Source organism: Homo sapiens, chromosome 2, assembly GCF_000001405.40.
Source record: "Homo sapiens chromosome 2, GRCh38.p14 Primary Assembly".
Classification (NCBI taxonomy): domain Eukaryota; kingdom Metazoa; phylum Chordata; class Mammalia; order Primates; family Hominidae; genus Homo; species Homo sapiens.
Genome location: NC_000002.12, coordinates 134363770 through 134385719, shown reverse-complemented (window position 1 = coordinate 134385719; position 21950 = coordinate 134363770). Strand labels below are relative to the sequence as shown.

Below are 21950 nucleotides of genomic sequence, written 5' to 3'. Positions count from 1 at the left end.
TATGTATGTTTCGTATGTATTTATAAATATCCAACCTTACGTGTGTACCTTTTAAAAACCATACTTACCTTACTACCTCGAATTTTGGTGGCATTAAAAACTATGTTGTCCTCTGCCCTCCACTTGTGATTGAACACCCCAGGTCTACTCAATCAGCAGCTGAGGGCTTCTGAAGTCAGGAGCCATAGCGAGGGAGTGAGGGGCTTTTGATGGCACAAGAAGGATTAAGTGACTAAGGACATTCTAGTCACACTTTTATTCTTCCTTCTCTTTGGATTTAATATATATTGTGGTATATACATGCTGTCTTGACATAAATGCTGACCTGAAATTTTTAATGCTTATTTGATATCTGCTTGATTTTTTGCTGGTTATTATGAGGCAGGTTTTGCTGCTATTGCTGTTTAATGCATAGCAGTACTTGGAGAGATAGACTCAGAGAATGAAGAAAGAAGTACAGTGGGTTCTGCTAAAATGTGTGTTTCTCTAATGTCAATTATCTCATAGACGAAGGATAAGTAGGAAATGATGTAAACAGAACATGTAAGTCACTTTGGTTCATAACCATTTTTCTCCAGCACATTATTATTTTGTAGAATCAATAACAGCAGCTTAATATAAGATACATTTACTCAGCTACAGGTAGTAATCTGCAGAGGGTATAGTACTGTATACCATGACTAGTTTCCAGCCCAGTATGTGTAGCCATGGCTCTTCCATGGACATGCTTCTGTGGAGTTCTCTTCCATCAGGAAAGGTCAGGTGCATCTTACCCTTCTTTCTCTAAACTAAAAGTAGCCTCAAACCATTCCCACCCCCAGCATGCTAATTTGACCTTTTTAAAGGTAAAGTTGTATATTTACTATAGTATTTGCTTTTTAGCTTTTAAATGTTTTCACTCTACCATTTTTATTTGGATTGTTATTTTTATAACTGCTGTTGTTCAAAAATGTGTAGATTTGATTTGCAGTGGTTTGGCCCTTACTTTTATCATAAATTCTATCACTTTGAATCTGTAGTTTTCAAGATTTTTCAGAAATGCAGATATCATGATATAGCATAAATGCTTGTACACCAAACTTCCGAAAGGTAAGTGTACTTCTGGTGCCATCAAATGTGAACTTGAGAAATTTAAGTTAAATGTGTAATTGTAAAAATCAAATAGTTATAAAGAATCCATATTTTTTTTAACTGAGACTTTGTTTTACTAATATTTTGTGGTTCACAGTTCTAGTAAGAACTAGGAGTTTGGTTCTTATGTACAAAGGGGATTGGCTCCAATGAAGCCGGTGAAGAAAGAACCCTGAAAAACTGAACCAGTTACATTCAACACATTTACTTTCAAAGGCAGTTTCCAAACAAACCCTCAATCAAAAAGGATAGTGGACAGGAAGGAACTTGTAGGGGCAAGAGCATTGTATGCCCGGAGAGAGAGAGAGAAAAAGCCTAGGACTTGGGCACAGCGTACATCTGGATGAGAGGATGATGACTTTTTTTTTTTTTTTCAAGGGCCGGATAATAAATATTTTAGTCTTTGTGTACCATGAGGTCCCTATGGTACTCAACTCTACCACTGATGCTCAAAAGCAGCCACAGACAGTAGTAAACAAATGACCTTAGATGTGTCCCACTGAAACTTTATGGGACATTGAAATGTGAATTACATAAAATTTTTATGTCCAATATACCCTTCTTTTGATTCTTTCTCAATAGTTTAAAAACATAAAAACCATGCTTAAGCGGCCAGGCGCGGTGGCTGACACCTGTAATCCCAGCACTTTGGGAGGCCGAGGCAGGCGGTGACGAGGTCAGGATATAAAGACCATCCTGGCTAACACGGTAAAACCCCGTCTCTACTAAAAAATACAAAAAATTAGCCGGGCATGGTGGTGGGCGCCTGAGGCAGGAGAATGGTGTGAACCCAGGAGGCGGAGCTTGCAGTGAGCCAAGATCGTGCCACTGCACTCCAGCCTGGGCGACACAGTGAGACTGTCTCAAAAAAAAAAAAAAATGCTTAGCTCATTGGCTATACAAAAACAGGTGACAGGTATGTGGGCTGCAGTTTGTGAACTACTGATTTAGAGCTTTGAGATTAATCCCTGTATTATTAATATAAAAACAAGTGGATACCAGCTGCAGAAGTGGACAACAGCAGTATTTAAAACAGCCTGGGGCAGCCAGCAGGAACAAAACAATTTCAAAAGCAAATCTTTCAATGAAGTACAGTTCAATAGCTAGATTAGTAATAAAGTACTTGACTAATACTCTCCTTTCAGTGCTTGATTTAAATTGGAGGCATTTGGCGTTTTATAAGAAAAATACAAAGTTCATTAAATTGTGTATTGTTTAAATAATAAGCAGAAAATTAAATGCTCAGGTGAGTATGTTAATGGCTAATCACAGCAGTCTGACCTAACCACAGCAGATATCATTGCTCATTGTTTTTTATTCAGAAGAGGGAGAAATAGGTGATGAACTAATAGAAAAAATCCTCTGATGCAGGCAAAGTAAAAAGTGATACCCATGTATCACGAACATTTTACCATAAAACTATAACGCTGTCTCTGAAATCTCTTTAAAATGTCAGGTAAGTGTAAAAATACTTGCAGAGCAAGTTAAATGCAGGCTCCACATTTTTGTGAACTTCCCCATTATTTTACTGGTACCTTGACTACCCCAAATTTAACAGCAATATTTTAAAAGGACTCACCTCTATCAAATCTTTCCAAAGCTACCAACTAAGTTTATATAGAAGTGCGTGCTCTTACTTTTCACATTTATATTTCATCAGTTTATGTGTTAATGATACTACATAATTACAACACAAATATGTGGCATAAACAGGTTTGGTAGTAAACTCTCTCAACATTTGATGTGCACACAGCTCAAGCTGTGGGTGCAGAAATTCATGGTATCTGTTGGGAGCAGTCTGGCCGCCCCAATGTTCAGTGGGCTGTTGGCCTCAGCAGGTCTGACAAAGGAAATGGTAGAAGTAGGCAACCAGGACTTTGAGAAGTAGAAGTCCACCAAGAGATCTTCTGGTCTACTCCCAAACCTTCACAGTAGTGTTCAATCCTGGAACGCCCAAGAATTAGCTGGGGAGGTACAGGCTTAAAAGCTCTACCTAAGTTTGGTTCCTCCACTACCTGTATCAAATCACCTAGAATACTCGTGTTCCTAAGGCCCTATATTTAGCTTTACTGTAGCCAAATCCCTAAGGGTGGTACTGCTTTTGACGAGTTCCACCCATGATTTTCAGGCACACGATATTTGAAAAACACTCTTTAAAGAAGCATTCTGGGCAACCTCAGTCTTCCTATTTCGACACAATAGAAAAGTCTCCAGAACAGCAGTTTTCAACCTTTGTTGCATATTATAATCACCTGGGGAGCTTCTATCACAATGTCAGAGATCTGATCTACTGATCTGGAGCTGGGCCTGGGCACTAGGACTTTATTTTTTTTTTTTAGACAGGGTATTGCTGTTGCCCAGGCTGGAGTATAGCGGCATGATCATAGCTCACTACAGCCTCAAACTCCTGGCTTCAAGTGACCCTCCTGCTTTGGCCTCCCAACGTGCTGGGATTACAGATGTGAGCCACTGTACCTGGCCATCACTGGGGTTTTAATGGCTCTCCGGGTGATTCCAAAGAGCAACAGCTTGGCTGAGAACCATAGCAAAGCTCCAGGGGTAGCATTAAGAATGGGGTCAGACACTTCTCAATTCCTGAAAACCCAAACTTGTTTCATATAACCAGGCTCTATTAGAAAAATAATTTTTGTTTTTATTAAGAATATACATTTCAAATGTATTTTTACCATAAAAAACCTATGTTCATGCTTAAGCAGGGTCCAGGAAGCAGCTAAAAATCAACTTCTAAAGAATTACAAATTGAAATGATTTAGAGAACAAACCTAAAGACCAAGTCCACAAAAGCCAATTACAAAATTTGAAGAAGCTAAGACTAAGACTTGCATTTAAGAGCCTGGGCAGGATTTTGGAAAACTGTTTGCATTTCCATGGAAAGTAGGAAGCCAACCACCCTTTCCTGGAACTATAATGATTCTATCTAATCTCTCTCTGGCTAATCTCTCCTGTTTGTCTGTCTGTCTGTCTATCTATTTTAGAGACAGGTCTTGCTATGTTGCCCAGGCTGTAGTGCTATCTATCTATCTATCTATCTGTCTGTCTGTCTGTCTGTCTGTCTGGTCTGTCTGTCTGTCTGGTCTGTCTATTTCTCTACCTACCTACCTACCTACCAGACAGGTCTTGCTATGTTGCCCAGGCTATCTATCTATCTATCTATCTATCTATCTATCTATCTATCTATCTATCTAATCTATCTTATCTTATCTATCTATCTATCTATCTATCTATCTATCTATCTATGAGACAGGTCTTGCTATGCTGCCCAGGCTGGAGTGCAGTGGAGTGCATTCACAAACATGATGATGGCTAACTACAATACAAGCAATCGTCCTGGCTTCAAGCAATCCTCTTACCTCATCTTCTCAAGTAGCTGTGACTGAAGGAACACACCACCATACCCAGCTATAATAGTCATTATAATCAGGCAAAATTCAATCTTCCCATGATTCAAAGAGTTCAGAATTCATTTCCACAAATGATTGCATGGGCTCTTCTATATGCAAGGACTTCATCGGAATTTGGGATGGGGGGAGGTAGGTGGATTTTAAAAAGAGCAAGAAAGGGGGGCAACTTCTGTCATTCTGTTTCTCTACGTTTATTTTTCATAGAACATATCACTGCACTATGTATGAATTTAATGGTGTATTACCTTCTTTTTCCTCTTTAGAGTATCAGATCCATAAAGGCAAGCATACAACGTGTTTACTCTTTCATTACCAAACCTTACAACAGTGTCTGCTCTACAGTTGTATGTACTGTCAATGAATGAAACCAGGTTCTTGCGCTCTGTTAAGTTACAAATTGAATATAACCAACTTGGCTTGGGTGGGCAGAAATAAGAGAGCTAAACAGGACAATATCTGACCATAAGCAGGACAGTGAAAGTAATACTAAATTAAGATATAATCAGAAAAATGAGGGCTACCATTCCAACATGGTATCAGTATTTATACTCTTCTCTCATGAGAGCTTCACAGTGAACCTGCCGGGTAACAGATGAAGAAACGGAAGCTCACAGAGACAAGTGGCTTGCCCAAGACTGCAAGGCTGGGTGGCAAGGGGAGAGGGAGAGGGTCTGCCTATAATCCATGTCCCTTTTTCTTAACCACTCCACTTGCATCACAACAGGCCAGAAAGGGTGCACTTGCATTCTAACAACAGCATAAAGCTGGGCCAGACTGACACCACTGTTTTCCGTTAAAAGGCTAACTTCAGTGCAATAAGTATGTGGTGCAAATAAAAGATAGTAACTACCATTTGAATATTTACTATGCTCCAGAAGAAACTATGCCACGTGCGTATTTCTAGCTTATTTCTTTCCACAATCCCATGAGGTAAGTATTATGCCTGTTTAACATATGAAATTCAGGATGGGGAGAGTCTGGACCAGAAAATGACCTCTTAAACCCTTAGTGCTAAAAATCTCTAAGTCTGAACAACACGCTCCTTGTCTTAGGGAAAGGAATCTCCAAGCAAACCTTTCTTGGGAACTTACTACATGCCAGACACTATACTATGCACTTTTTGACATGCGTCATCTCACCTCTACAGCCCTATGACCCAAGCACTGTTCATGTCATTCTTGTTTTACAGGTGAGAAAACTGGGTTGACACAAGTTAAAATATGCCCAAGGCCACAGGCCAAGTGACAGAATCAGAACAAGTGCAGAGCCATGGCCTAATCCTTTCGCCACAAGAACACAGCTCTCAGATGCAAACCACTTGATTTGTCCCTGTCCATGAGAAATGCCAGAGTTCTTATCAAGAGGGGATGAAACAGACTTCATGCTCCTAGGACTGGCTGACTTCCATCCAAACGTTCACATTTTATTCTCTTGAAATATGTATTTTGTACCTCCTGAGGCTAGGCCTAGCTAGTCACCAGGGATACAAATGTAAGACCACTGGGTGCCTGCCCTCATAACGCCTGCAGTCCAGCCATGATCGCTCGCTGGTAAAAACCTCTGTCCCATCAGAGGCAGCACTCACCCACAGAACCACTTTCTCTGGGCTTGCAGGTGCTGGCGGGCTGCCTCCATCTGCTGGTGTGCCTGCCTAAAACTTAATTCTTTGAACTCCTTATCCAGCTGGCAAAGGGAAGCCATTGGAAGTTACAGATGTTTCCTAGCAAGGACAAGAAATCGCTTACACTAAGACCTCTGTGTCTATTCCTGAGCTCTGACTCACCTATCTTTTGGGTACTGGCCACAATAACACTTCTTTATTTTATTCCTAAAAGAACAAAGCTGGAAAGGAATATTTGATCTTGGAGACGGGAATACTAGCAAGTCATCACAAGATGATAAAATATGCAGAACAAAAGTACACACGTTTCTGCAAGGGACTAAGAAAATATTTAGAAACTGTTTCATCAGACAACTGTTAATTCATTACAGCAAAAGTGTAGACATAGGGAGAAAGAACTGATACAAGCAAAAGGTGGGGAAGAACAGGGGAGAAGACAAAGTGGGAGAAAAAGCCAGAAGGCCTGAGACATCCATGTTATCATGAGGATTTAGAGTAGAAAGGACTCAAATTATCCAGTCCCATCACCCACTGAAAGCCGGGGGCCTCAACCACAGCCACAACATAATCATTACTATGTGCCAGGAACTGCACTGAATGCTCTCACATATCATCACTTCAGGTAATCCAGGCCAGGCGCGATGGCTCATGCCTATGATCCCAGCACTTTGGGAAACTGAGGCAGGTGCATCACCTGAGGTCAGGAGTTTGAGACCAGCCTGGCCAACATGGCAAAACCCCATCTCTATTAAAAATACAAAAATTAGCTGGGTATGGTGGTGCACGCCTGTTATCCCAGCTACTAGGGAGGCTGAGGCAGGAGAATCACTTGAACCCGGGAGTCACAGGTGGCAGTGAGCCGAGATCATGCCACTGTACACAAGCCTGGGCGACAGAGTGAGATTCTGTCTCAAAAAAAAAAAAAAAAGTAATCCAGATAACCCTGTGAGTTGTATATGATTAGTGTTCTGATTTAACGATCGAGAACACTGAGACTTAGATTAGTTAAATGTCCAGTAAAAGAGCACAGAGAGAGTAAATGGCACAGCTTGGAAACAAATTCCGGTCTGTCTCTAAAGCCCATGCTCTTAACTGTATTCTGCCTCTCGGGTTTGATAGACACTTCTACCCCTGAGTGCCTTGTCAAGTAGATCTGACCCTGGGGAAGGTAAAGCACAGACAGAGAAGAATTATAAAAGATGAGAACCCTGCTATGGGCTCTGCCTCCCAGTCACAAAGTCCTGAGCTCACACATTCTGCTCCCCAATACGGTCTCCACCTCCCCACTTCTAGTGCTGGGGCGGCAGGATCCTGATGCTGTAGAAGAAGTTTCCCGGGAACCAGATATAAAACACTTCCTCCTGTAGCATCTTTCCACACCTTCTACTGACAACACTTTAGTGCCAGCTCCAAAGAAAACATACTTCCAGGGGCCAGATCCGTTTTCACTGAGCAATTAGAAACGATGAATTTGGAGCTGAATATCAATCCACTGAAAACTGGTACACTGGCTGACCCTCCACGCCAAGGCCAGGAAACAACGTGTTTGAAGGCCTTCTAAGCAGGGCTGGCAGAAGAGGCTAGGTATGCTGGGTATAGCATATGCCACGTGGACTCTGTTGAGAACTGCTGGAATTAAGCCCAAGGTACCTCCTTGGACACGTCTGGTATCTGCTAGTATGAGCATTAGTCATTTCTCTCTAAAAGAGGAGTTGGAGGCCCTTTTGCTCCGGCTAACAGGAATGGAAAAACAGGTGAGGAAAAAGTACTCAACATGAAAAGAGTTAATAGTTTTGATGGTGGGAGTCCTTTGAAAGACCAAGTCACATCATCTGGGGAAAGCAGGGCCCTGGGAAGACATAAACTATCTCCTGTATCTCTATGACCACTGCCTACATTGCCTTTGTCCATGTAAGTGTTGTGTGACTTTGACAGAAAGAAACCGGAAGGTAAAGGAGCCGTGGTCATAAAACTTATTTTTCTTCCTTTCTACCTTGTTACTAGAATCATGTACTCTTGAGGACACAGCTATTGAATCCTGATTGATAAGCCAATCTCAATTGGCCCAACCCAACTTTCCTGGCCTCCTCTGCAGCCAAGAATGGTCATGTGACCTAGGTCAAATAATGGGGGGAAAGAATCAGAGGAAGGGAAGCTTTAGGAGAAGCTTCTATTTCTTGAGAAAAGGCTCCAGCCCCTTCACCTTTCTTTCTGCTTAGACCACAGCTATGAGGCCTGCAGGCCTTGTGACGCTATGGTGGCAAGCCAATGCATGAGGGATGCCAAAGGAGAGACCAAAGTGGCCTGGGTCTTTGCAGACATCCAGTGAAGAAACCAGCCCCATACCCCACACTGTGTTACATGAGAAAAGTTAACTCTTGCTTCATGGTTGTGAGGTATTTTGCTAATTATAGCTGGGCACACTTTTAATTTATCCAAACAGGTTCCCAGACATAGCTGACTAGCTTGTGACAGTTTGCAAAGAATTTTCAAACCTGTCTCTTGTCTGATCCCTGTGTCAACAATGTGAGCTAGGAAGAACAAGTGCTGTGAGACCGTTTTAAGGATAAAAACATGGTTTAGGTAGGTGAAAGGATCTGGGCAGAGCATGGAGATGGTTAGTGGCAGAGTAGGATTTGTCTGGGCCTACTGAGTTACCATCTTGGATGGTGCTGGTAGGAAGACCTACCCTGGCTGCTAAATGAGTACCGTTTTCAGGGGGCCTATCCTTGGATCACGGTCCTACAGAAGCCAGCACACTGTCACAAAATATAAACAAGGCTAATTCAATATTTTGGTCTCTGGCCTCAGCTGAGAAATAAAGATTGGCCTGCTAGTTTCAGCTGCTTCCACTGAGCCACTGCATGAGGATGAGGGATAATTTCTTTCCTCCCCTAGGTCCAACAGCAAGGAAGGCTCTTCCAGACAGGAGGCATGCTGGGGTTAGAGGTCACAGAGGAGGAATGAGTATCTGGTCCAAATAGTGAGGGATCGGTCCATGAAAGTGGTTAAACTTCTGCTTCTCCTTCAAGTTGTTACTTACATTGTCACTGGTTTAAATGATTCATTTGCCAACTCCTTCGAAGTAAACGTTATCATTAAGAATAAGAAAATAAAAAGACACTGTCTTTAGGACAATTTAGGACAAATTGTGTGTATCTCCAGTAAATGATATCCATTTTAAAAACGGTAAAGAAAAGGAGGGAAGAGGAAGGAGGAGAAGTGAGGGAAGGGGAAGAAGGAGAAAAGGAGAAAGGGAAAGAAAGAGAAAGAATGAAAAGGGAGCGTTTGAATTGAGTATTTCAGTGAAGACTCTCTTAGGCAATAGGTTAAAATTCCACATCTCCCAGAGCCTGGTTTCCTCCTGGAAAAACACAGACAGTGCTGCTGCCTTATAGGGTTGTTGGGAAGCTCCTCATTATTCATTGTCGGTGTGCTGGCACCATCTGGAGGCCTGGCCAAACCTTAGCACGCCTTGAGAACCTGGAAGATCACTAACTGGTCTGGATCAACAGGGCTGTACATTGCTCTACTAATTCCTTATGGTGGCAATGTTACTCTCTGGAGTGCCTGGGGACAACCTGCAGGACCCTCTGGGGCAGCCCTGTACTGACTCTCACCTCTGTGGTCATGAAACACCCCCAGCAGCCTGGAAGAAGATGAAAATACTTGGTGAAAGCCAGCACTACTGACTTTCTGGGCCCTCTCCAGTTGACGAGATGTGCTCTGACATAATTAGGGAAGTGAGATGAAATCCCCCCAACCCACATGTGGACAATCACTCCTGCCTTTTCCCTTAAAGCCCATTTGGGCTCAAGAGATATGCTCTACCACCCAATTTTTAACTTCATTTAAAAATTTCCCTCATTTTTCCCTTGACCAAGTCGGTATTTCTGCTCTCCAAGCTCTCTAAAGGCAGACATATCTTTTGAAGTCCTGATACGCAAGTAAGTTCCTAATAATTGGTTCTGGATGACAAGAATCACATGCAGTGAAAACTGAAAACCAACACATTTCATCTTTAGAATAAAGCTTTGTTTCACTTGTTTTGGAACAAAGGCAAACAGTTGTAGCCCATTTCGGTTTCACTACTCTGCATAGTGGATTTCAGGTTTCCACACAGAACCGTACAGAACCTTTCCTTGAAATCAGTACCACACCAACATAAATGTATTTATTTAGGCTTTTGGGATTTGAGAGGATGGGTTGGAGACAGAGGAGGAAATTACCAAGAGAGAATCCATTCCTTGTAGTCCAGTGTGTTGGCTACAATACATGATGTAATTCAAATCCTGACCACCTGAGGAACCTTTACCTCTATCTGCTTCAGTTCTTTCACTCAAAAGTGGGGTTAATAATAGTATTTACTTCATAGTCATTGTGAAGGCCATGCCTGGAACACAGGAAGCACTAAAATGTCAGCCATTATCATCTCCTCAAGGAGCTCAATCTATCAAAAACAGAATCAAGAGGGAGAGAATCAAAGGCTGGCCAGCAGTACAAATTACAACTGAGCAGGGATAACTCCAGCGTTCCCTGGAGCTCTGCTGTCCCTCGAGACTAGAGCAAGAGTCTCGATTTATCCAGTGCAGTGGCACTATCTCAGCTCACTGCAGCCTTGACCTCCCAGACTGAAGCGATCCTCCCACCTCAGCTTCCCGAGTAGCTGGGACCACAGGAGCATATCACCACACCCAGTTAATTTATGTATTTTTAGAAGAGATAGGGTTTCGCCAGGTTGCCCAGGCTGGTCTCAGACTCCTAGGCTCAAGTGATCTGCCCACCTCGGCCTTCCAAAGTACTGGGATTACAGGCATGAGCCACTGTGCCCGGGCTAGTCCTGATTATGTTGACTGCAGATGGACTCGTTCAGTACTGAGGGCTGCACAGCCACCGCTGGATTTTGAGCATATGCTGCATATATGATTTTTATTTAAGTAAAGAATTGTGTATCGATGCTAAACATGACTTTAGAAGCAAATATATTAAAAATAATTTCTAAGTTGGTTTATCACCGATTCTCAATGCCATAATACCCTTTCTTGCAATTGAAGGTTGAAATCTGCTTCCAACAAATATTCCACATTGTAAAGTCTGCTCCCAATCTGTGTTTTTTATATAAAACTCCATCAACAAGCTCTGTTCTTGCAGGGCCTATGTTTCAAGGTGTTTATGACATGGATCTGCACTGATGTAGAAGGTTCCACAGGGTAAATCTCATGATTTTCACGTCTATCAAAAATTTAAGTATTCCAACTGGCATGGTAAGCCCCCAGGTGCAAATCCATACTAACACTTCATATACTTGTGTATGTGTAAACAGCCACCGGAAAGAGGTCAGACTTCCTTCAACTGGCCCAATGCATTCCACTGGCTTATATGAATCCCCCACCCTTCCCAGATTTAAGATTTGCTTCTCCACCTCCATTTTAAAATCATACAACTAACTTTGCTTTTCTCTCCAAGTAAAAGGCAGAAATCTACACACACTTCTGTTTCCTTCTACTGCTGTGATTTTGCTCCATTGGCTGATGTTTTAAACAATGGTTGATAAGGACCATAGAGAACTCATTCCAAGGCATCCTATTTTTGGTGTGTCTGAACCTCTAGCAGTGTTGACGAGGAATGAACATTATTCTCCCAAGATGAAGCTGGAGCAACCTCAGGGATTTTCACCCTTGAACCAAATGAAGCCCCCAGTTCTCCTTCCCCAGCTGAGAAGGCTTCATCGAGTTGGGAGGGTGGCAGTGCCCTTGACTGTCTCTCCATGCCTGGACTGCACTGCCTCAGGAGGGCTGAGATGCCACGAGGAGCTCTGTGGGAACACTGGAAGGAGCACCCCGGTATCTCAGTATTGAACAGTGAGGCGATCTCCTGCCAGCCCAGCAACCTGCTGTCTGGGATGGACCAGTATAGGTCTATCTCCTCAATTTGTCACCATGCTCTTAGAATATGGACTATGCCTAGAAATCTAATCCAAACTCTGTTTTCCTACAAGCTGTATTTTAATAAGGTTCTATTTAGGTGGAAAATCGCATAATCAACACAATTACCTCATTCTTATAAATCTGTGCCCAATAACATTCAGAAGACCATGCCTTTCAGACTGTTTCAAATTCAGAGGCATTACAGTTCTGTCTCCCTTCAAGAACGCGCTGTCAACCCTTTCCTCACTTGAGGGAAACAATCTTGCAATGCTTTTCTAACAGCCTTCCACACAGGTCCTCTGACTTCTCTCCCTGTACTGCTCATCTTCTGGGCACCAAAGGCCCCTGGGTCACTATGTGAGACGCTGCCTCCTCCTTGTCCATGGAGAACAGCTTCCACACACTTGCACTTGCTTGGTGGCTTCTGTCCATGGGCAGCTGCCACCCATCTCTCTTTGCTCTCAGATAGCAACTTCTTTTCCCATCCCTCAACACCGCAGCTCCCATATCGGCTGCCAAACTGTTAGGGTTGGAGTAATAGTAAAAAGCCTCCAGGCAAATTACAACCACAACAGCTGTGTTTACTAAGAGCTACAAATGAACTCATCCCAGCACTATTGGAGCAGGAAGGCAGTGATTTGGAACCTTCCAGAAGTGCCCCACCCTCAGGATGTTCACTGGCTGCCTGAGCCTCCAGCTTCCCAAGCCAGCCCTGGCGTTCGCAGGAGACCCTCTGCTGAGCACCAAGGGCCTCTTTTCATGGACAGCAGTCTTGTATGTTTTCTTCTCACAGCTGCAGTGATTTGCACTTAGCTGTTTATGCTGCTGGGAGGGCTGCCAGCCACCCACGCAATAAGCAACTGGCTAGTGGTTTTCATGCGGGGGCACCAAGAAAACTACTCTCCATTCCCAGGCTTCTGGAACACCTCCCTAACCACCTTCGACAAAGGCCTAAGATTCTATCATCCATCATTCAAACATTTGTACCATGAGTGGCCTGCTCTAGCTCTACAGTGTAAAGGTCACAGGAAAGGAGGGACACTGAGAAGAGTATGACTTATCCTAAAGGTGGACTGTTTCTTCTAAATGTCTCTGAGGCTTTATCACCTGTAAAATAGACACATGCTTCAAGAGGCTACGAGACAGTGCTTTAAGAGATCTAAAATTCATACAAATTTTTATTTGCATTCCTGGGTTAAAAGATAAGCATTCTTGAGAGATATATCACTGAAACCCATAACCATGTTTTGCACCCCACATGGATTTATGCGATTGGCTGTTATCATGGAAACAAGGGGGCAAGTCCTTGGAAGCCGTGTGGTTGATCAGCTGTACTGGGAAGCAAAGGCCCGGAGCACTGGATGCAACCGAGGTAAAACAAAGGAATAGCAAGTGTCTTCTACAGCCTGATGTGGTTGCTGGCTACATGGCAGCCATATACCACACATGGACAGGAAGAGATTAAGGTTTTTCTGAACAAGGAAAATGGGTGGCTACCTAGTGTAGCATTTCCCAAGCCTGCCTGTTTGGAGCACCTGTTGGAGCATACAGATTTCCTGGTCCCTCCCCTGGAAATTCTAACTAAATGAGGGTGACAAGAGGCCCTGGCATGTGGATGCTGAACAAGTTCCCAGCTGGCACTTAAGATCAGGCAAGGTTTTTTTTTTTTTTTTTAAACAAAACAAAACAACAAACACAGACCTAGGTTCTAAGAATGAACTTCAGCTTTCCTGAATCTCCCTGGAACACAGACTGGAAATCATCTTAGCAAAGAACCCAACACATCAATGCTATTCCAGAGGGCCATGTCAGAGTCCTGCCTGGACCTACAACCAAGCTATTGCTTGGAACTGTAAGCTATGAGAAGCTCTACCAGTTGAGTTCTAAGGGGGAGTTTTCTCTCACAAATGGGAAGAAGTCCACAGACTATTCCATCATCAAAGAGCAGGGAGCTGACAGGCTCCAAGTCCCAGATGCAGGGCTGGTTGGCATGCATTCTTCCCAACCACCTCAAGCCCCAATCCAAAGAAGAAAACTGTGGCAATCCCAAGCATGATTCGATAGAAGCCACAGCGGCCCATATCTGGGCTGGGCTGTCAACTGTAAAGTGTCAGTGGGCTGGGCTCTGACAAGGAGAAAAAACCAGCAGTCTGCTATACAGATTTCAAGAATTTGGGGTATCTACTGAAGCTGTATGCTGACAAAGGGGCCTTGGTTTTATTTTCCTCCCACCCTTATGCCCCAAAACTTGATAGACTTTTAAACAGGAGACTGAAAGCATGACTTGGCCTGGAACGTGGAACTCGTTATTCAACTCAAAAGCTTCTTCTGAAACCTCACAGATTTCAGAAAGCTGCTGGGAGGGCTGCCAGATAAGGAAAGTGAGACCCAGAGGGCAAATGACTTCAGAGGACACGTACCCAATAAATGGCTCAACGGAAATGAGAATCCGGGCATCTCCTTTGCCACCCAAGCCGCCTCCAACTCCTCTACACCATGTCCAATCAGTGTCTCTGGGTTGAAATGGGTACAAGAAGAATGTGTGACAAGGAAACCTCATGGATCTAAGACGATTGCATAAAGCTTGCTGAAACAGGGAATGGACCAGTAGGGTGATGACATCGGGTAAGGCTACCCCCGGGTCCCATGGGCTCCTAGTTCCACACTTATTCCTACTCACATACACTTAGCAAACACTGACACGCTTACACAGGGGATGCCACATGGGGTTATGTTATAGTCAGCATGCAGCCAACACCCATTAAAATAAATCCTTAAGGTTCCTGGATCATGGCTCTTGGAATCTTAAAAGCTAATGATTCATTTCTGATGTTTCCCTTTGCATTTTATTTCTCCTCTGTTCCTCCCTTGCCTATTCCAATCTTATCCTTGAATTTAGAGAACAGGCTCTGTGATGTGAGTGCCCTTTATCATGTGCTAGGCACAAAACAGGCACAGGTAACCATGGCTTGGTGAGTGGCTGCCCCTGGGGGCTCACCATCTCCACTGATGCCTACACTCCTCCCTGCCTCTGGCAAGCGCCATCTCCAAGGGATCATGAAAAGATCTTTTCTGACTTTTACCCCAGGGGAAATAAGCAGGAGACACATTATTTTCTAATTTTTAATGTTCTTCTGGTTGGAACCAGAACAAATGGCTATGATCACATCAGACTTTCCAGTAAATCCAACAAAACTGATTCTAACTTTGTTATTTCAAAATATATGCCAATTTGAGTTAGGGTGGGTTTAAATTTATCTGGTTTATTTATCTCTACATCATCTGGGCAGAGAAGCTTGGCTAAGTAGCCTGAAGAACAAAACAGAATGACAAGGTTTAATCTACTTACAAAAATGTGTTCTTTTCAAGGGTTTCAGTACATTCTTTAATTACAAAGGTCTTGGGTGGTTCATTAAAACAATGAGCTAAGAGCAGTTAATTCCTACTATGAAATAAAATGGCATTTCTCCAAATGACTCCCATTCCCAATTTTGCATTAATTTAAACTAAGCCCAAGTCAACCAAATTAGCAAGCTAGATAATTACATAGTTTTCAGAATGGGATTCTATCTCAGATGCAGCAGTCACCTAGTCTGAGACTTTAACCACCCTTTTCCCCAGTTAAATCTTACTGGAAAGCCAAAAGCCAAATCTATGCCACAGATATATTAGAACTGCTCTGTTGAGACAGGGCCCATCCTGTGTGGCTGCTCCTTGACCTCCTATAATAGCAGACCCTAGGGCTCTGAAAACACACAGGTGAATAATGATTGATCTTATCCAGTTGTCATCAAATTTTTTCCGTAAAGGATAAGATAGCAAATTTCTAGACTTTATGGGAACACATAAAAGTCTGTCATTCACACACACACACACACACACACACACACAATGTAAAAACCATAAAGCTATCACCACACCCAAGACAGCAAACATATCCATCTCTCCTCCTCTCCCCTCCCTAAGTAACCAATGACCTCTTTTTGGTCACTATGGATTGGTTTGCATTTTCTAGAGTTTTATATGTATAATATATACAGAATCAAACAGAATAAATGCTCCTCTTATTTTGAAGTCATCTATGTTGTTGTGTATAATAATTCATTCTTTTTTTAAACCAATACCTTCATTTATGCAAGTGAGGAAACTGAGGCTGGAGTGGCCTGTCCCAATCATATGACAGCAGAGCTGGCCCAGAGCCAGGTTCCCATTTCCCTGTGCAGTATCTTGTTCCCATCCATCTCCCTGCTAATCTCACAAGAGGTTTAGAAAAACTTTTGAAGCCTCTATGTGGTCTGTAGAATTTGCATGTGTAGCTCTGTTCCTTTTCTACCAGACTCCCTCTTCCTGGTCTCCCTGGGGTCAGCAAAGAACACAGGGAAATGTTCTAGGCAGAAGGCATTCCAAGTTGTATCCCAAGTTCCACAGATAAATCAGTAATTTAAGCTAAACTTAGGGGAGATTCATTCAGTCATCAAGTAGTTTCCGAGTGCCTACCACGTGCCAGGCAGCTGGGTAAGCAAAGCAGGTGCAATTCCTACTCTCACAGAGCATATAGTCTAGTAAGGAAGAGAGATTGACAAAAAAAGATAATTATATGATTACAAGATGAATCAAATGATATAAAGGGAATAAACAGGGTGCTGTGCTAGGGAGGGGGAGGGGTGACATCTGGCTGAGGGCACAAGTGTGGAACAGGGTGGTCTTGGCGGCTCCAGTTGGGGTGAGCAGGACAGGCAGCAGCCATTAAGGAGGGTGGTGGCCCCTGGTGGAATGGGTGACACACAGGACCCTTGTGGCTACAGCCCAGGAGCCAGAGAGGAGTAGGTACAGAGCAGGAGTGGCTGGCTTGCAGAGAGCCTCGCTAAAACACACTACCCAGACTGGATTTCACTGTAAATGTAAGGTGTTCTAAGTGTGAAATGAAGTCATTGGAGAGTCTGAGCAAAGGAGTAGCACGATTCAGTTTGCATTTTAGAAAAGATCACTCTGGCTGCTGCTGTATGGAGAATGAAGTAGAAAAGGGCAGGAGCAGGGGAAGTGGGATCACATTTCTGAAAGTTCTGCTGCCTGATTTCTCAGGCATATAGGAAAGGGATCATGTGTCATTTCAGGGGATGCTTTAAAACCACAAAGTCTTTGAAGTCTAGATAAAAAGGAACTTTTCAAATTCAGTTAAGACTGGTTGACTTTGGTTGTTGCCAAGGCAGGCGAGGGCTGGACCACATCAGGCCCTAGGGTCTGGAGCTGGAAACTATTTGAAATGCTCATATCAGGCTTATTTACTCACTCTACAGAACTGGCTGCAAGGCTGTCGCTGACTTGGCGATCCTGCGGTGGGCAGCCAGGAGCAACATTTTACCTGTGATGCCAGTATTTGCTCAGGGCTTCTGCTGTACACTTAGCTCACCCAGAGAGACCTTCCTTCCTAGCTTTAGAATCCTGCTGTAACCACAGACTCACTCCCTCCAGGGTAGTGGCAGTGGAGCAGCTCCATGGAACAACTGGCAGCAGGAAGGCAAGTCTCCAAGAGGAGAGGTCAGAGCCTGACCCTGGTTCTGGCTTTGCCAGTCATGTGCTGTAGGACTTGGCCATGTCACTCCCCCTCCTTGAGCCAGCTCCTCATCTACACACCAGGATGGTTAAGGAAGATAATAGCTGCCCTTGCTTCCTTAAAAGGCATCAGCCTGTACCACCTTAAATGATGGCTGTGAAGGGCTCCAAGAAGCAGAAACACTGTGCAGATTCACGACTCCTTTATTATCAATGCATTAGTTACTAAATAAGCACTAGCTTTTGCTGAATGCCTACAAAGAGGTACCAGGCTCAATGCCTGGAGCTCCATCTCTAGAGTGATCAGGATTTCAGTTAAGTTACACTTCACTTTTCCACATATTGGCCATCCACCAGCCTCAATCATACAGAAGAATACAATCAAGAACCCTGAAAGACCTCTGATGAGATCAATGCCAGGGACTGTTGGCCAATGTGTTCTGAGAGAGAGCTGGTTTACTTGGGACGTGGCATAATTCAGGGGTCAGAAAACTTTTCCCAGAAAAGGCCAGAGAGTAAGTATTTTAAGGCTTTGTGGGTCACACAGTCTGCCACAATTATCTAACTCTATAATTTTAGTGCAAAAGCAGCCATGGACAAGGAATGGCCATGGCCATGTTCCAGTAAAATGTAATTGACAAAAACAGATGTTGGGCTAGATTTGGTCCACAGTCTAGAGTTCGCCAACCACTTACATAGACTAAGAATTAGAATTTGAGTATCTTTGGACAGGCTTATATTTTCCATTTCCTCATAGGATAGAACTCCCTGGCTCACATCCCCACCAATTCCCACTGCAGCATTTCCTATCTGGCCCCAATAATGATATTAGTAAGAGCAGCAAACATGTATTTAGACTTACTGTGCACCAGCTAAGTAATGTACCCAACCTTAGGCAGCTGGTGGCCCAGTCAGGATTTGAACCCAGCCATCTATCTCCAAGTCTATGCTCCTGATCACACTGCCCAGGGGCACCTGAATGTATAAACCAGGACAGCAGGACACGAGGAAGACACTGTGCCTCTCACCTCCTCTCAGAGCCCACTGCTCACCACAGCTTTACCTGGCTCTTGGGGCTAAGTGGCAGAGATTAGAAGTAGCAAGGTCTGCAAATATCAAAGTAGGAATGAGGGTGACTGAACTAGGCACCTACAGTAGCAAAAAGTGACAGGCAGCAGTCTGATAAAAGCAGCAGGAAGACAAAGATAAATAGAAAAGAGGAGTTATTTATTTGCGAATTGGTCAGCTACTTTGTACCACACATTGTACAAATCCCACCTATCCTAAGACCTTGCTGCTCAAAGCATGCTCTTCCAACAGCCCACCGGTATCACCTGGATGCTTGTGAGAAAGAGTCTCCGTCTCATCCCAGGTATGAACCAGAGTCTGCATTTTAACAAGATCCTCAGGTGATGTGTGCATTAGTAAGGCTGAGAAGCCATCAGCTATTACTGCCGCAACTTTACAGGCTAGGAACCTGAGGCTCAGGACAGTCAACCACCTTACATGTGGTTAAGTTGCAAGTCTGAACCCCAATGTGTGATTCAGAGGCAACTCTTGTTCTCCTGACGTGGTCAAAGAAAGGCCTCCAGGACATTTACCTTAGCGGCGATCATGTATTATCTTGTATTAAGATCATAGTAGGATCATGAATACATAAGATACTAACCCTGCACCATCACTTGAAGATTCAGTTATGCTCAGTATACTATTTTTAAAGAAACACAGAAATTAAAGTAATATAGTTAACACTTCAATTCCCATATTTCAAAAATCTCTTTTTACAAAGTTGACCAATTTTCCATTCTCTGATGACTTTATTTAAAAGAATGTAGAAGGATTTTGAAATTGACCATACTGGACAGATTGCTGTTCTTCTGGGTACATCTCTAGTGTTAGCAGGAGCGAATGATTAGATGGCCTCAGAGGTAGAGATCAGGGACCCAGAACTGCAGCTTCCTGAGTTAAGAAGAGAGACTTCTATTTGGGATTAGGCTGTTAGTAGTCTCATTTGATATTAAGGGGCTTGGGCAGAGGTGGTTCCTAAGTTGATGCCCCTGGGATTCTGGAGTCTGACGGCAAGATTCCCCTCCCCACCTCAACCTCCCCACCATGTACTATAACATCACGACAAGACCATTGAGTACCTTGGTCATGAATCTGGGGACAGGATATTAAAGGACAAGCCCGCTCCTCCTTAGCTTGTATATTTAATACACTTGTTTTTCTTGATAGGCATTTAGTATCTAGTATTTTAGTAAGTATGTTGATATGACTATAGGAACAGAGTACTTAGATACTGCAAGACCAGAGTGTGAGAAAGGATATATAATCTGGGAAAAGAAAGCTGCCAGAAACTCCAGCAGCTACTTTCTCTTTCTCTCCAGGCTGCAGGAGTTCTATCTGTGTCTTCCACTCTATCAGGCCCTCCACTGCACCCTAATTCTGTCAGGGTGGTGCCTCTCCTTGTGGAGGAATGCATTATCCTCTCAACAGCACCCTCTCCCTGTCAACATTGGTCCTGCTTCATCATGTGGACTCCTGGAAGGCTTCCGCCTCGCCCTCCTGCCACAGACGCATTTTTTTGATTTCTGTTAACATGGCTCACTCTCAGTGACTCTGTTTTCCAACATGAACTGAAGAATCTCATTGATGCAGCTCAGTTTTCTGAGCCAGAATTACAGTTCCAGCCACCAAAAAGCTGGACTGCACTGGGTCAGAGGACAACTCCAGGGTCCAATCAGCCAACATTGGAGGGAGTTACATGGTTGCATTTCCCACTTAAGTGCCGAGGTGAGTAGGGAGATTCCCTCAAGAAGGAGGGTGGTGGGAAGAGTGAAGCAGGATTTATGGCACAGCAGGAATCTTCAGAATTTAAAGTCCTACAATCTGAGGTGAAGGAAGACCTTCCAAAGTCATCTGGTCCAAATTGTGCCCTCCCACATCCTCCAGTTGCAATCCTAAACCTCCCAGGACACAAAGGTGCCACTTCCCTTCCTGAAGCTCTCTGAGGTGAATCGGGATTGGGTAGGGGAGAGGGGAATGGGACACAAGAACAAGATAGGGAAGACGACTGATAAAACATCCTGCTAGCTAAAGCCTATGTTGAACGTAACTTTAGAAATGCGGTTGGAGTAACATCTCACTTAAAAGGCACATTGGTTTTCTGTGTGCATTCACTAAATACTCCAGGACGCACAAGCTTTGGAAAAAGAAACTAAATTCTCACATACTGTGCCGTGTTCTAGAGTTGGAGAAGATGTCCTGAATTCATGTGAAAACTTTATAGGATTTTTCATCTTTTGGGCTTTTTCCAGCACAGAATGCTGGATGTAATAAAATTGAAATAACACCCAGGATTTTTGGGTGTTATTACTCAGGCAAAGATGAATGTGGACACACTGCAACCCAACCTTTTATAATCTTTAGGTGCTGCACAGCACAGGTACACAGAAGCTTGGGCACCCATGGAGTTTTCACACCTCAAAATCTGGAAGGATTTCTAAATCTCACTCCAGATCACTTGAGCAACATGGTTAATGGTTTTGGGATTCCTTTTTTTTTTGAGACAGAGTTTCACTCTTGTTGCCCAGGCTGGAGTGCAATGGCATGGTCTCAGCTCACTGCAACATCCGCCTCCCAGGTACAAGTGGTTCTCCTGTCTCAGCCTCCCAAGTAGCTTGGATTACAGTCACCTGCCACCACGCCTAGCTAATTGTTTTGTATTTAGTACAGACAGGGTTTCACCATGTTAGTCAGGCTGGTTGCAAACTCCTGACCTCAGGTGATCCACCCGCCTCAGCCTCCCAAAGGGCTGGGATTACAGGCATGCACCACTGCACCTGGCCTCGGAATTCCTACTGGCATGGAAAAGTCACCCTTTTAGTGGCAATATTAATTTATCTAAAACAGGTGACCAAAATCTTTCAGAACCAATTTATTGTTTTGTTTTTCTAGGGAAAGGGAAAAAGTTGCCAGAGAGTGCTAGGAGGTGGTTGCACTTGGCCCCAAAACAAAGTGATATAATTTCAATATTAAGCCCACACGGACATGCAAGCTATCTTCTTCAAGCAGATACAGAGGCTTTTCTTTAAAAGCCACAGTCCTCCTAAAACCAATGCCGTAAACCATTAATTTCACAAACAAGCTGAGCATGAGAACACCCAATATGCCTGTTTTAACCCAACTTTGGCTGAAAGTCAGCTGGAAAATGCACTATCAACACAGGACACATTTTTATACAAGGAAAGCAACACAAATTTATGGGACCATCTTCGATAGCCATTTACAATCTAG

At 43.5% G+C, this 21950-nt stretch overlaps 1 protein-coding gene across 23 annotated transcripts in view, besides 1 other annotated feature; it reads right to left on the bottom strand.

Annotated features, from left to right (window-relative positions):
* MGAT5 (alpha-1,6-mannosylglycoprotein 6-beta-N-acetylglucosaminyltransferase) overlaps window positions 1–21950 on the bottom strand; it is a 334687-nt gene that overhangs the window by 68902 nt on the left and 243835 nt on the right. For 2 of the 23 annotated variants that reach the window (XM_047444406.1, XM_017004149.2), the window contains one exon: window positions 10323–10624. The exons of the other annotated variants lie outside the window; for them this stretch is intronic. In XM_047444406.1, coding sequence (XP_047300362.1) covers window positions 10550–10624 — 75 coding nt within the window. In that variant the 3' untranslated portion in view covers window positions 10323–10549. Of the gene's footprint in view, window positions 1–10322; window positions 10625–21950 lie in introns of those variants that run through there. 23 annotated transcript variants of the gene reach the window in all.
* Window positions 12853–13357: an enhancer, noted in NCBI's record as "NANOG-H3K27ac-H3K4me1 hESC enhancer chr2:135129934-135130438 (GRCh37/hg19 assembly coordinates)". NCBI's record gives its function as "activates a minimal SCP1, AML or CMV promoter by ChIP-STARR-seq in naive H9 embryonic stem cells {active_cell/tissue: H9 hESC(naive)}" and the evidence as "EXISTENCE:reporter gene assay evidence [ECO:0000049][PMID:30033119]".